The sequence below is a fragment of the Homo sapiens genome, chromosome 1 (assembly GCF_000001405.40).
Source record: "Homo sapiens chromosome 1, GRCh38.p14 Primary Assembly".
Lineage (NCBI taxonomy): Eukaryota > Metazoa > Chordata > Mammalia > Primates > Hominidae > Homo > Homo sapiens.
This window is the reverse complement of record NC_000001.11, coordinates 237,770,695-237,785,830: the sequence shown is the minus strand read 5'-3', so window position 1 is coordinate 237,785,830 and position 15,136 is coordinate 237,770,695. Positions and strand designations below refer to the sequence as shown.

At 38.2% G+C, this 15,136-nt stretch overlaps 1 protein-coding gene across 16 annotated transcripts in view, besides 1 other annotated feature; it reads right to left on the bottom strand.

The window, feature by feature from the left end:
• Positions 1-15,136, bottom strand: part of RYR2 (ryanodine receptor 2) — a 791,805-nt gene that overhangs the window by 48,158 nt on the left and 728,511 nt on the right. For all 16 annotated transcript variants that reach the window (XM_006711802.4, XM_006711804.4, XM_006711806.4 and 13 more), the window contains 6 exons: positions 14,944-15,024; positions 13,731-13,819; positions 12,183-12,311; positions 7,061-7,165; positions 4,185-4,266; positions 859-2,156 (listed from right to left, as the gene is read on the bottom strand). In XM_006711802.4, coding sequence (XP_006711865.1) covers positions 859-2,156; positions 4,185-4,266; positions 7,061-7,165; positions 12,183-12,311; positions 13,731-13,819; positions 14,944-15,024 — 1,784 coding nt within the window. The remainder of the gene's footprint in view (positions 1-858; positions 2,157-4,184; positions 4,267-7,060; positions 7,166-12,182; positions 12,312-13,730; positions 13,820-14,943; positions 15,025-15,136) is intronic.
• Positions 521-1,720: an enhancer, noted in NCBI's record as "BRD4-independent group 4 enhancer chr1:237947411-237948610 (GRCh37/hg19 assembly coordinates)". NCBI's record gives its function as "activates an origin of replication core promoter dependent on BRD2, P300/CBP, MED14 and CDK7 cofactors, and independent of BRD4, by STARR-seq in HCT116 cells {active_cell/tissue: HCT116}" and the evidence as "EXISTENCE:reporter gene assay evidence [ECO:0000049][PMID:35650434]".

Genomic DNA, 15,136 nt, shown 5'->3' with positions numbered 1-15,136 from the left:
GTTTTTCATTTTATAGGGCCAAACATCTCCCGCTTCTTCTGCACACTGACCTACTGCACCAGCAGCAGGGACAAACTTTCTGGACTCCTTTTCACTCTCTTTTCTCATTTAGAAATATCCTTCTTTATCTTAAGCACCTACTAAAATCTTACTCATCCTTCAATGCCAGTTTAAGTCCTACCTCTTCATTCTTATCTAACTACTTTAAACCATAGCGGCATTGCCATTTTCTCAACATAAGCAACCCCTACTGCCCTGCCTATACTATTTCACAGTTAACCCTTTTCTAGTTTCTTCATGTGTGTTAGTTTTATCTCTGGAATAAACTTTTTAAGGTAATTTGAAGGCAGTGACCCCATCTTACCTTTGAATTCCCTATGATACCCAGTGGTGTCTGTCAGACACTTGGAAAATATGCCATATTCATGGATGGAATGATGGCTCTATGGACTAATGACTACAAAGAACATACAATGAAAACATGCCAAAGAAAATCACAGAACAGAGGAGAAAATTTCAATGCTCTGTGAGAATAATGCCACTTACAGGTATCTAAAAGTTTTCTTTCTTTTCCCAACTTTTCAAATGTGCATATAAAATTATATAAACGTGGAGAAAGATGTAGGCTACAGTTAGGGTGGGTACTGAAGCTTACACCATAATAGTTTAAGATAATTTAATAATTCATAAGGACTCTTAAAAACACTAACTTTGTCTACCAAAAAGCATTTCTCTTTGGAAATTCAAGTCACATAGGTAACACCGTTCTGGCACTAGCATGAAACCTGGTCTAATGATCATTTATTATACCCACCTGAAGTCCAGAGAGAATGCTGCTGTGACTTAGAGATAAATTACCTGAAATTTTTCCTGCACCTCAGGCATGGGGACTGGGTTGCTCATGAGGTCACTGAGCCCAGCATTTGGATTATGAGGAATCAGTTTGTACTGTCCTCCTTCTCTCTTCAGATCCAGGCCAAAGATGTCCGAAAGAAGGTCACTTTCCTCTGTCAGCTCCTTTAAGTCGGTCAGATCCTCGGAGGGCAGGGCGGCTTCCAGGGGTTTCCTCTCTCCCTCCTCCCCATCTCCTCTAACCTCATCCTGAGTGGGGTCTGGCATGTTGGCTAACAGTTCTGCAACTTTGATCTTTTTAGCACCTTCGACGAGGCTTCCCCCAAGCAGCAGGCTGCAAATGATGCGGAAAAAGCCTCTGAAAACGCTGGCCACGAAGTGCAAGAGGGTCATGAAAATACTCCAGTAGGATGAAAAGAAGGCCGTGACCATGTCCTTCACGGTCATCTTTTTTACTTTTTTCATCTGCTTCTTCAGGCTCTTCAGACTGAGCATTCGCATAAGGGTCAAGATATTGTACCTGAGCGCAAACAGGGCCGACCTGACCGTCAGAATGGAGAAGAAAGCCATCCTCGGCCCCTGCTCTTCCGGCCTCTCCTTCTCGCTTTCTTCCTTATTCGCTGACCTCTCGTTCAAGTCCGACTCCGAGATCTGAGCCGCCAGCTGCATTTCAAAGATGGTGTCCTCGCAGAAGTTCACAAAGAGTTCCATCTTCTCTTTCTCTCCGCCTTCGTTGACCACGTCAAATATGAACTGTCTTTTGGACTCCTTGACCTGGGGCTTCTCCCACTGGGTTCGGCTGGACTCACTGATTTCAAAATAGACCCTCTCGATGCGTTTGGCGCTTCCCATGATTTCGATGCGGCCCAGAAAGGGCTGGAAATAATTCAGGACGCTCTCTGCTAATTCCAGAAAAGTCTGAAGTCGGGTATCGTTGGGCATGTGCTCAGAGAGGTTTGTCAGAAGGACGGCGACGTTGAAGCCGATGTCCTTCGCAGGTTCGTGGAAGCGTTTGACGAACTCTTCGTAGTCGAGGGTTTCATTCTCATCCGTCTCCGCACAAGACAAAAGAAATTCCGTTTCTGACTGCGTGTAGTGCTTATGGCTCTCCATCGCTTTGTGGAAGTCCCTCTTGGAAATGACTCCCTTGCCATCGGGGTCATATTCTTTAAAAGTATCAGACGACGTCAAATCCTTTAGTTTTAAGAACATGTCAAAAAATTTGAGAATCATCTCCACGTTGTTGGAAGATTCCACAAGCATATCCACCATCTGTTTGCCAATCGTTCCATTAACAACATTACCTGGTGGTAAAGCAGTTGCATTTGTTTAAAATAAACTAACAAAATCAGTGATCATACAGAAGATAACAATGTAGATCTTTAATAACATCTGAATCAAGGATATGTCCCTGTTTATCTCTCACTCTATAAAAAGATAATTATTTATAAACTATAGTTTAAAAAATGATTACACAAACATGCATAACCCTATTTACAGAGCAATTAGACTGACACACATAAAATATTTCAACAAAAGTTGACATTTTTCCCCTCAATCAAAGAAGCAACATGTTTTAGATAAAGAAAATGAGCCAAAGAGCCAGAAACTAAAATCGTTTCATATTAATAATAAAAATAAACATTTGCTCAGCCCTTTAGAGTTGAAAAATCACTATCATAGACAATATCTGATTTAATGTTCATATGTAAGGCAGGTACTTTTTGTTAACCCTAATTTTACCGATGAGGAAATTGAAGTTCAACAAGACTAAATTAATGGGCCCATTGTGACTTAATTATTAAAGGTTAGTGCCAGGTCTTCAGACCAGATCCTGAGAGCAAACTGTACGCTTTTTCTGATTCATAATGAAAAGCACCTTTCTACATTTCTTCATGAGTCAGTGTGTATAGTTGTTAGAAAATGGCAGATTCCTGAACTACAGGATCACAGAATGCTTTTATTCATTGAACAGAACGTGCTATATATCATAAAGACAGGCAGGAGAAGAAAGGTCGCTGGTCAGAGGTCCACAGAGTCAATCGGAGAAGCAGTAAGCACCGTGGTGTTAAGAGTGTGGGATCTGGAGCCACATTGTTGGGTTTGAATCCAGGCTTAATGTGCTCAGCAACCTGGGCAGATTTCTTAGCCTCTCTGTACCTCAGTTTCCTCATTTGCAAACTTGAGATAATATTACCATTGAACTGATAAACTTGTTACTAGGATTAAATAAGTACTTAATTCAGTATCTGGCACGTTATGAGGCTGGTTTTAAGTCACTGCTGTGGTTGCTGCTACTGCAGTTATTATTGTTGCTGTTTGTTAGTATTTAACCCAAAATTCGAATCGGGGCCATGCATGGAAAAATGGATCCTGTGTTTAAAGGGTATAAAGTGGCTACTGTTGCCACCGACTAAGGGCTTTAAGCAGATGCTGCCACTTCAAAGTCCTAGCACGAGGCGTGACAGCTGCCTCAGTTAACTGAAGTGGAGTTACGCCATGTATGGCAGACACGGAGAGAAAATAGGAAGAAGTTAAGAAAAAGTGATAGGCACCGTAATACCAAACATTTCTTAGTTGTTTTGGTTGTATTTATAGGATTCCACTGAATTCTCATATCAATATCTATCATTTCTATTTTGCAGAGGAGGAAACTGAAAAAATGGAGATGTAGCTTGTCCAAGGGTCATACCTCCCAGAGGTAAGGAAGCCAGGATTTAAACTCTGGCGGTGGATTTGGAGCCCAAGCTCTTAACTGCTACATTTCCTGCCTGCTACAGGAAAAAAAAAAAAAAAAAAAGCAATAACAAAATAAGCTGGGAAGAAAAAAAAAGAGAAAATTAAAACTGAGGCTGTGGTGGGGAGAACAAGACTACCACTGCCAGCTGCCCTGGGGGACAGAGGCTTTCCCAGCAGTGCCACGGCTTTAAGAACCCAAAGGAGTGACTCTGTGGTCTTTTCAAAGCAGCAGCTTACACAGCTGACTGTTACCCAAATGTCCGAAACCCCCACTGATTATGGACAAACACACTAACAAATAAAATATTCTTTATAGACTGGAGAGCTTACTTTTTACGATATCACTATGAAATGAAAAGTACTGTTATAAAGTACTACTATTTTCATTTTGTAGATATGTAAACTGAGATATGCAGGATCTCCCTTTAAAAAAAAACTAATGTGAGAAAAAGAATAATAAGCCAGCAAGAAATCCAAGGCATCTATCATATCTGAGTGCTATTTTATTCTATGCTACACTCTGATTCCATAAGCCCATGCTGATCCTTTAAATAAGATAATAAAGAGAATTTAAAAGTATAAATCAAAACTACCTTCTAACATGGACAGCAACATGACCACCATATCCTTCTGCAGATCCATTAATTCTTTTAATAGCTCAATTTGACTGGAATCCTGAAAATATGAACATTGCATTTGAGATAATACAAGAAAACTATGCAGCAGGAACATCATACTTATTCTCACAAAAAGGATGCTGCTCTGGCAATAAATAGTAACCACTTGAAGCATTATGGAACTAAAGGAGGGCCAAATATTAAAAATAGTTATACTTTACAATTAAAAAGTATTACTGATTTCAACTCATGTTCTTTAAAGTATTTGTAGGCCGGGCGCAGTGGCTCATGCCTGTAATCCTAGCACTTCTTTGGGAGGCCGAGGCGCACAGATCACCTGAGCTCAGGAGTTTGAGACCAGGCTGGGCAACATGGCAAAAACCCGTCTCTACTAAAAATACAAAAATTTATCTGGGCAGGGTAGTACACACCTGTAGTCTCAGCTACTCAGGAGGCTGAGGCACAAGAATTGCTTGAGCCTGGGAGGCGGAGGTTGCAGTGAGCAGAGATCACGCCACTGCACTCCAGCCCGGGTGACAGAGCAAGACTGGGTCTCAGAAAAAAAAAAAGTATTTGTACCGACAATGAACATATATAGCAATAATATGAAAGAACCACAACAGTGGAATATTCTCCAATGCCAAGCAAGACTCAAGACCTTCTGCACATTTGACATCTATCTTATCTTTTATTTGAAAAGCCTGCATTTTTTTCTTCTAACTTTCTAACTTCTTCTAGGTGCTATTATGTAAAAATCAACTTCATATAGAAGAAATATAGGCATATAAGCACCATAGAAGATAAACTTATAAATGTATTTGTTAGATAAATTAACCAAAAACCTACACAGGTATTACCTATTAGTACAACATTGTACTAATAAATATTACACAATGTATCTTATTTACCAATTTGATTAAGCTTTCCAGTATTACTCTGGTTAAAATTTTGTTTTTGCTTTTGATTTTTTACCATAAAGAAACATTCTTTTTCAAAGACATATTGTGTCTAAACATCACTACGCTTAGCTATAGTCCCTGGAAATACGGATCATACTTACATCTGCACAACTTTACATCTCATCCATTTTTTAAACTATTCTTTAAAAAATTTGTACAAGGCATTTTTGGTACATATGAAGCTATACAGTGTTGGGAAGATGAGACGTTTTCTTTCTAAATAGCTGTTATGGAAACTTTATAAACCATGAACAAGTGCTAGGTAGCACCAGATGTTAATACCCTGATGGAAAAACATCAGGATGAGAACTCTCTTGTGAGGGTCTACATTTGGTTCATATGTTGGTTTCCTTTACTTACCAAAATATCCCTAGTGATTAAATGAAAGACTGGAATTTCCCTATTGGGCTGAAGTCACCAATAACTCCATACTGACATTCTCTCCTTGACCAAACTCTAGTCAGGTACCTCTGAGCCCTCTTCTCAACTTGGCCTCAACTTTGGTCTATAAAGACTTGAACAAACACTAATAAATATAGTTTCTAACTGTTCAAGACTGCATGTCAAGGATGATCCCAGCCCTCCACTAAAGTACCTGCCTGGGAAAACTCCAGGCTGATAAAAAAATCAACAGTTCCAGACAACATCTAAGGATAAGGACTCTGGAGGACAGAATCCTAACTAACTAACTTTGACAATTGCCAGTTAGCAGACATAGCTGGTCTAATCACATTTACACCAATGAACCTTTTGTAACTTTTCACTCCTCTGACTCTACTGAGCTCCTGCTCGCCCCTTCTCTAATCTTCATTCTCCCATTAATATTCCCAGTCACCTCTGTACAAATCAAATCAGGTTCAGTTCATGCTGAACTCTTTTTCCTTGTTGCAATAGCACTACTGATTAAAATCTGTCCTTATTCGCTTAACTAGTATCCAGCTTTGTTTATCTTTGACATTAAGATGTATCCTTACCACTTTTACTAGCATCCAGCCCTGCTGATCTTTGACAATATATCCTGCATATTGTCATTTGCAGGCCTGAGGGATAGGTTCTTCACTTTACTGCAGAGAAACAAGGCCTCAGGGAAGAGAGACCTGGCCCACACGGGTGGAACAAGTCATGGCAGCTCAGGAATTAGAATGACAGCATTCTGTCTTTTAATCTGACATTCTTCTACCTGACCGCCTGGCAAATACTCACACTCTGAAGGTCTCAGATTATACCATCAAAATTCACTGCATTGAAGAGACACATTCACAAGAACTTTTCTGTTTGTGTATCTTTTTGTTTCAAATGAAACAAATACAGCAGTGAGCAAACAAGCTGATATTTTTCAATAGCCCTCAAGTTAACATTAAACATGGTAGAAAATCTGTTTATTCTTCATTTGCTTATCCATATAATAGCTACTTTTTCTCTGTCACAAAATTAAATACACTGGTTAGGGGTAAGCATCGCCCTACTGAGAACATCTGCTTGTTTAAGACCCTGTAACAAAATTGTCTCCCTTGTAACAGATTATAAAACCTATTTCAATTATCTGTAAGGGGAAGGAAAATTCCAGTGAGCAATGGCCAGGAAGATGAAGCTTGTGAAATGTACAATGTTTGGGGACTCGACTGTTTCATTTGTCCATTACATTCAATTTCTTAATATCCATTGTCTCAAATTTGAATAATGACTCCTGTCTATTCTCAGGTTACATAACGGTTTTTATTTTTAAAAAATTTTAATGAGCAAAAGAGGCATGATAAAATGATCTTAAAAAGACAAGTGATAAAGTGATTTTAAAAAGATAATATTCTAACATCAAAAAGCATGTTTAATTTGCTGATGATTACAGTCTCCAGTTTGTCATTTAAGAGAGAGGAAGGCAGTTAGTTAGTTTACCTGCGACAGCTTCATCTGCATATGGGCAAACACATGAAGAAAGCCGACCACAGCATCCCACAGCCTGCTGTGTGCCAAACTCTGTTGATTCCCAGTGCAAGGACCCTGGAGCATAAACAGACAAACGGCAATTATTCCTCATAATTTATTTGCCAAAACAAACTGTACAATAACAGGGGAAAAGTTGACTTAGTGCTGATATATTTCACTGCTAGCACGTTATCTGAAAAGATAGGAACTCAAAGTGAAAGAAGGAGATACAGTGATGATAATGATCCTTAAGAGAGAAATACGTTCCTCTTTAAAACATTTAATATATTCCAAAAAAAGTTTCTCAAGGATTTTTATATTCTGTGAATCATTTTTTTTTTTTGGTCTGGCTTTGATCTCCTCTATTTAGAGGAAAAAAAATAAGGTCTGGGTGCTTTGGCTATTTAGTCAAATCAATCAATAGTCACTATTTTGTATTCAAAAGAATCTGAGAATATGCTTTAGATGAGAGGTGATTACCTCTTACTCCTAAATAGTAACCTGGATAAAGCATTCATATAGAGAAAAAAAATCCTCTTCAACGTTTTCTTAATTGAACAACTATTTTACAAATGGTACAACCAATGACGTGTTTTAAAAGAGTAATACTTGCTTATTAATTTCACGAATCCAGAATCCAAGGCAATTGGAAGTGGTTAAAATAACTAATTGGGAGTCATTAGGCTGAGATGGCTCCAGTGTCTTGCGTTCCTCCCTAAGAAAACCAAATCCCAACTCAATGTAAATTTAAGCTTAACCAATCAGAAACTGCCAGCTAACTTCTAACTAGAGAGTTCACCAGTCAGAAACTGCCAACTAACCTCTAACTAGGGACTTTGCACTTTTACCAATCAAATTTCTTGTCTTGCTTCCAGGAACGCCTTATAAAAGTGCCCCCACCTTTGGTGAAGTGCTGAACCATTAGTGTTCTGGTATTGCTCCATTCATAAATAGTTGAATGCTCAGATAAACTTGTTAAGATGTTATTGTGCCTAAGTTTATCTTTTAACAAACCTAACTTTGTTCTCTTAGCTGACACTTCTGAAGTATCAATACTAGGGTGGATCCGCTGTAGCACGCAGACTGTTTTCATGGAGCCAATTTCTGTTTTCACTTTCCAATGAAAAAATTCTACCATCATTCAGTTTTGTAAACCCATCTACATCAACCATGAAAATAAATAACAGGGATTTTACTTAGAAAGGAAAAAAGTACATAAAATACCGTTCTTAACTTCAAATTCCTTCATTCCTTTAGGCAAATAACTTATAATACCTTTAAATTGCAGGCCACATAAAAACATTTCAGATCTTATGCTAGAAACAAGTGATTGGAAGAGATGGCCAGATCCAAGATGTTGAAATAGAACTTTTTCCTGTCTCAGCATCTCTTGAGGCCCTACAGCTGAGATACTGACTATGTATTCTCAGATGACTATGAGAACGACTGACTGTCTACAAAAGCAGTAGACTCACTACCTGCAAAAGGGGTGACTAAAAATAGATATTTCCACTCTAAGGATACAAAGGGGTTGAAATTGAAAAGGGGGAAACTTTGGAGGGGGTTCTCCGTGTGCTGAGCCTCTCCATTTCGTTACTTCTGCATCCCCTTACACCAAGTGAGAGAAGAGGCTTCAGGAGAACCATCATGTGAGCTCAGTTTCTGTCTTCTGAAGTTGGGTAGCATAAGGTCTGGTATTAGAAAGTGTGACAGACAGCATATGACAAGAAAGATGTGTTTCTTATATGGACTACTCAGGAAGGGGCCATTCTGCCCCATCTGAAATCAGTCTGAAATGGTAACATAATTCCAAGGTGGATGGGGGCCACCAGATGCTTGAGGTCTGATTGAATAACTTTAAACTGGATGGGAAAAGAGTCATTTCCAGGCACTGGAGGACTAAGAGGGCCAGGCTCGCACGTTAGATAAAAAAATACAACACACCACACCAGAGGGCCAGCTCCGTGGTGCACTCTGGGATTACATGTGCCCCGGAAGAGACCTTTCCTTCCCCATACCTCCTCTCTCCCACAGCAACAACCCAGAGGAAGCCTGGGGTTAATCAGGAGGGGAAAGGGAAAGAGAGAGAGAGAGAGAGAGAAGAACCTTCAGGGGGGAGAGTAAAAAAAGCCTAGATTGGACTCCTTCCAGAATGAACAACATCCAGATGGGAGTTCTTGCCTGCACCCTCACTCTAGGTTTTCCAGCTGAAAATCAGGCCCAAGGGTAAGCGGAAGTTTTACTGAAATGAGATTATTCTTGTGACAAAGTGACTGACATGATTTTATTTATCTGAAAGTGGCCAGTGCACAAGATTCCTTCTAGTGGTAAAGAAATGGTCGACAAAGCAAGTCTGAAGGGACAGTGGTGAGAAGGAATCAGGTTATTTTAATCTGTAGGTCATTAAATCCAGCTCATTTAATGTACCAGATATAGTAGCTTTATAGTTTCCTTCATCCCTGGTTATAATTAGTCCCAACTGGCTATTACAGCTCTGGTTTGAAAGCAATAGATCTTTAGGATTTTCCTGTGGTCGATGTTCAGTGTCAGCTTGGTATTCCAATGGCATATAAATTAGGGAGGAGGAAAAGTGCAAGAGGTGAACACTAGATAGCCATTTTTAGGAAAATAAACTTGTTTTTTCTTCAAGTCAGAAATAATTTTCTTCCCGTGATAGTTAAGGTTTAAATCAAAAGTTGAAGCATTACAAGGGGTTGTGCTCTCCTGCAACCCCTAGGTGACCAAAAGTTGTTTGGCCAACCCTCATGTGACAGAGTTGCAAGCCCAAAGCCAAAGTACCCATTTTTTCTTTTAAAACCTGAAACACACAGAATGTCCTTTGCAGGGCTTGCTCAACCTTAGGTCCTCAGCTTCTGGGAGCTGTAAACTCCCTAGTCTGGTGCCTTGCTTTCTTTTTCTCATGACGTATGTACCTGCAACATGGAAAACCCTTGCTAACTACCAGAAGGACCTGTGCCAAGGACAGATCAAACTTTCTCTTTTCTCAACAACTACCTCATGGTCTTACTGTAGGAACCTTGACAATACAACGTCCTCTTACTCAAACAATTCTTCCCCTTTTATTAAATTGGGATTACAATCTTATAGGTAATTCCATTTATTTCAATGGTGTTGGATCTCCCCCTTATATAACTTTCTATAGTTAGTAGAAGTTTGAATAATAAAGCAATACGCAATGCTGTAATCTAAAAGGCAGTCCAGAAGCAGCACGAAGCTAATGATAAGCTTATCTTCATAGTATCAATATTTATCAGCAGATATACCACTAAGGCAAGCTTCTCTAAAATATATTTCACTAGATGTAATGTGGTAACTTGGATTGTATCCCAGAATTTTAAAAAACAAATAACGTGAATGGAAAAACTAGTAAAATCAAAATAAAGCCTGTAATTTAGTTAACAGGATGTGCCGATGTTAATTTCTTAGTTTTGACAAATGTGCCATGAGTATATAAAATGTCAGCATTGGGGAAAGCTGGGTGAATCATATACAGAAACCCTCTGTGCTATCTTTACAACTTTTCTGAATACTAAAATTATTCCAAAATACATATTTCAGATACGATTGTTATTTTAAAATGTCATATAAAAAATAAGTAATAAGAGAAGTTACTTGTTACTTCTGTTTTTTTTTTTTTTTTTTTTGGTTCTTATTGAACCAAGCACAATAAGCCATGTGACTTTATCCAATATCCTTTAAACATTCACATAGAAATCTGTGTTCTATGACAACACCCTAGAGTTTTGCATATAGTAAGAGCTCAATGGATGCTTCTAGATTTCGATACATTCAGGAATCTCAATTATTTTAGGAACCAAGAAATGCCTACTCTTAGCTGAAATGGCGGTTATGTTTCATTTGGAATATATTATAGAAATCATCCTGATTCCCATTTCTGGAAAATCCAGTGGCTTGCTAATGTCATCAGTCAATCCTGTTATTTATTCAGGACATGACACATGAATGTTGTTGTACTGGTATCATTCTAGGCATGCATGAGAATACTAAGGCAATAATGGAAGCCAGGAGAGGTAAGGAAATGGGACTGTGAGTAGACCAAAACTGACTTAAGCTTTCACTTTTATTTGATTTTAAAGGAAATGTTATTAGAATTATCAAGTGTGACGTTTCCATCTGGAAATGCTGAAATAAGGTTCCTCTTCCCCACCAAGGCAAAAAATAGAAAAAGTGCCATGCTTCCAAGGGACTGAATGCAGAGGCGAGTGAGCCTGGAGGAGGTCTTCCTACCTCTACAGCACTTACTCTTGGTTGGCTGTACTTGGCCATGAGTCATTTATTTACTCAAACAGCTGTAACTGTTACGCTCCTGGGATACAATTTATTTTTAACTTAACCTTTCTTCTCCCCACAAGCTTATGTTTAGTCTCACAAAGCCAATTATAAGTTTCTCCCTCCTGTTTTATCCTTAGCATGGGGCACGTCAAACATAGTGAATGATTCAGGGTAACATGTCCACTGAGACAAGACAGAAAGGAAAGATGACTGGTCATCAAGCAAAGTTTTGGTGATTGCAGAAAAACCCAGAATTTTATAAAATCTTTAAAAAATCTGAAGTTAAGGCTAGAAGCTTAGTCCAAGGAGAATATAAAACAAATCGATGTAAAAAAGAAAAGAATATTCTATACGCTATTTGGAATTTTATCTATAATATACATATGCGATGTTTTCAAACACTCTTCTCTTTCTTAAGTTTCTATGAAACTTCTTCCCACTTTTAGTGGAATACCAGAAAGAATGGTTAAATGTTGTGCCTGCTCGCCCTTCCTTCCTTAATATTTACTAAGTGCTTAATACATATACCAGGCCCTGGAGGTACAATAGAGCTAACATCACAGCCCATGCCTCTAAGGAGTTAATCATATCTCAACCTGCCAAATGGTGAAGCAATTTCATTCCATATAAATTCACATCTCAACCTAATATTTTAATTGTAGCAATTTGCAAAGAAACTCAGAAAGGGGTCAATAGGAGATATGGAAACTACTCTAGATATACTGCATTTTTCTATGGAGTTCAGTGCTACAGATAGCAGCCATGTTTAAATGTTTACCTGAATATACTCTGTAAGAGTGTTAAAGACTTGTTTTGCCACTTGGATAGCTTTGGAGAAATTCCGTTGTCCTTGTTCATCAATAACATCTTTCCCAGAGTAATACCAATAAAAGTCACTAATTGATTCCTGGGAAATAGAGATGATATTATTTATTATCAAGTCACATTCTAAAGTTACCATTGACTAACCAGTCTTGGACTTTATGCCTGAGAAGTATTTTAAATAATAGATATGGTAGCAAACAAAAATATCTGTGAAGTAAATATCATTCTTCAATGAATTTCCTAAACATACAATATGTGAACCTCCTTCTTAGATATAGCTAACAACTGAAGAGAAGACAAGAAGAAGAAAACTTAGCTTTAAAAATTACTGTCTGATAACCTTGAACTTCACAAACATAAGAATTCATTAAGACTGGAGCATATTTATGCATGAGCAAAATTAGATGTTTACTATGTGAGCACAGAAAATAGATGAATCATGGAACAATCTTTTTTGGGGTACCGACATCTGGCCTCCATTTTCTCCAACAAAACTAATAACATTGCATCAGTGAGAACTCGCTGATATCCATGGCTTTTGTGTCTGTCCCTGAGGAAACTGGTTGGATTGCTTGTAAATTTGTAAATACTAACAATTGTAAACAAATATCTAAATAAGATCAATCTCTATAAACCAGATGTATTTAACAATAACATACATTTTAAAGATATTTTGGTTGGATAAGTAAATAATCCAATTTAGTTGAGCTGTGAACTACATTTGGGTTTTCAGACAATTTTTAAAATGACAAATGTGTTTTCAGCAACACTTCTTGGTGTACTGACTTCAAAATGCACCTTCCCCCACCACATTAAGCTTTCAGTTAGAAAAAAAAAAAGTTGTGATTTTACACACTCAAAGATTAAGGAAAAAGCTGAAAGTCTGCATTTATAGTTTTAAAAATACTGTGCCTGGTTTAGCTTATAAATAAAATGAGGGGAAAAAAGTTGTACAGGGCTCTCATTATTTAAGAGGCCTACGTCTTCAATTCAGTTTGATTAACGTTCTCAAATATGATTACAATATCAGAGATTTTTAAGCAATGTGGTGTGAAAATTAATGCAAATATTAGGACAGCTGAAAAGAACTGACCTTAGACTATCAAATTTAAGTGTATGGTAGTAGTTGCAAAGCCTTTCTTTCCTATTCCTACAAATGTTCCAAATATTCTTCCCCAATTTGTCTAACAACTGTAGAAGAAGGAGCAGAGTATAAAAGTGCTTTACAAAATGAAAATGACTTTAAAATACCATCAAGCTAAAAAAACAGGCGAAAAATCTCTACTTACAGAAATAAAATAATGAGCAAAAGTAGGAGGCACGTTCAGAAGCAGAGATAACAGTGGCTGTTTTGCTCTAAGAATTGCTGAGAGATTGTGATCAGAGATAAACTATCTCAAAAACTCCTTTCTAGTTATAAACCAAAACACATTAAAACTCTGCCGTATTGTTTCAACATACCAACCCTTTTAATTTGTTACTAATATGGAAAGCAACATACCTGAACTCTCAGTAGGTAGTCTACAGTGGAGATAATTATGTTGACAGTTGTATTATTGCCAGTCTGAGTTCTCAGATAATTCTGAAAATCTATGCAAGATAAAAAAATGTTATTAATGCTTGCTCAGAAGTTCAAGTTGAGTCATTCTAAGAACTCCAAAGGCAAATGCTTTCTATGGCAAAATCATTGTGGGTTAGTGCAGTGTTTTTATCTAATAGTTTTACTATGAAAATAATTTATATTTTCCATAAAAAGTGATCACCCCAAAAGTGTATCTGGGTGCTCCATTGATGATCAATATTCAATTTTTGTCTCAGATATTGCTAATATCAGTTTCTTCATTCCTAGTTCTAGAGCTCTGGGCAAACGAATGACTAAAAAAGGTTGCTATCCTTGAGGATATAAGAAGGAAATTATTTATTCATTAATCACTTGTTCCTCAGTACTGTGCAAAGTGCTGGGGTCAGCCAAGATAAAATTAAGATGGAGTTCCTGCCTTCAGGGGTGCACAAGCCTAGTAGAGAGTTAGATGTGTAAACAAGTAATGGAGATACATTATGTTAACTAGTACAATGAAGTATGTATACGCTCAAGGTAAAGAGAAGTGGTGCAAAAGAAATGATACTCTATATTACTCTATAACTATTTATATGTTTTTCATAAATCCTCTGTCTTTTTTTTTTTTATTGAGAGACAGGATCTTGCTGTGTTGCCTAAGCTCCAGTGCAGTGGGGCAATCACAGCTCACTGCAGCCTCGAACTCCTGGCCTCAAGCAATCCTCCTGCCCCAGCCTCCCAAGTAGATGGGACTATGAGCACGCACCACCATGTCTGGATAATTTTTTAAATTTTTTGTAGAGATGGGGGTCTCGCTATGTTTCCTAGGCTGATATTGGGACTCCTAGGTTCAAGCAATCCTCCCACCTCGGCCTCCCAAAGTGTTGGGATTACAGGTGAGCCACCGCACCCAGCCTCATGTGTCTTCCCTAACATCAAAACTATTGATAAGACTCAAGTGAAATGGATATCCGAGGACTGTGAAAGCAGGGAAGCAATATATAAAACGTCCCAGTTCCCAATGCAGAGTCATGCTCTAGAATGATTTGTTGTCTCTAGAACGATGCATAATTGGAACTAACAGGCTCTTGTTATTACTGGCTTGAAAACATTATTTATGCCTTAGTATCATCAGAAGTTCCGGGGACTCACAAACCTGAGTTGTGTCCCTCACAGAGTAGTTGCAGGAATCGGAAGAGGTCACAGGTGAACTCATCGTCCTGCAGAACCTTTTCTCCTGTGGGAAATCCAGAGGGATCAAACATTACCAGCCACCCCAGCCTGCCGCTCCCTTTCTGTCCCCACCTCCATACAACTTGCATGTTGATCTAGCATTGTTCTGAACCAAA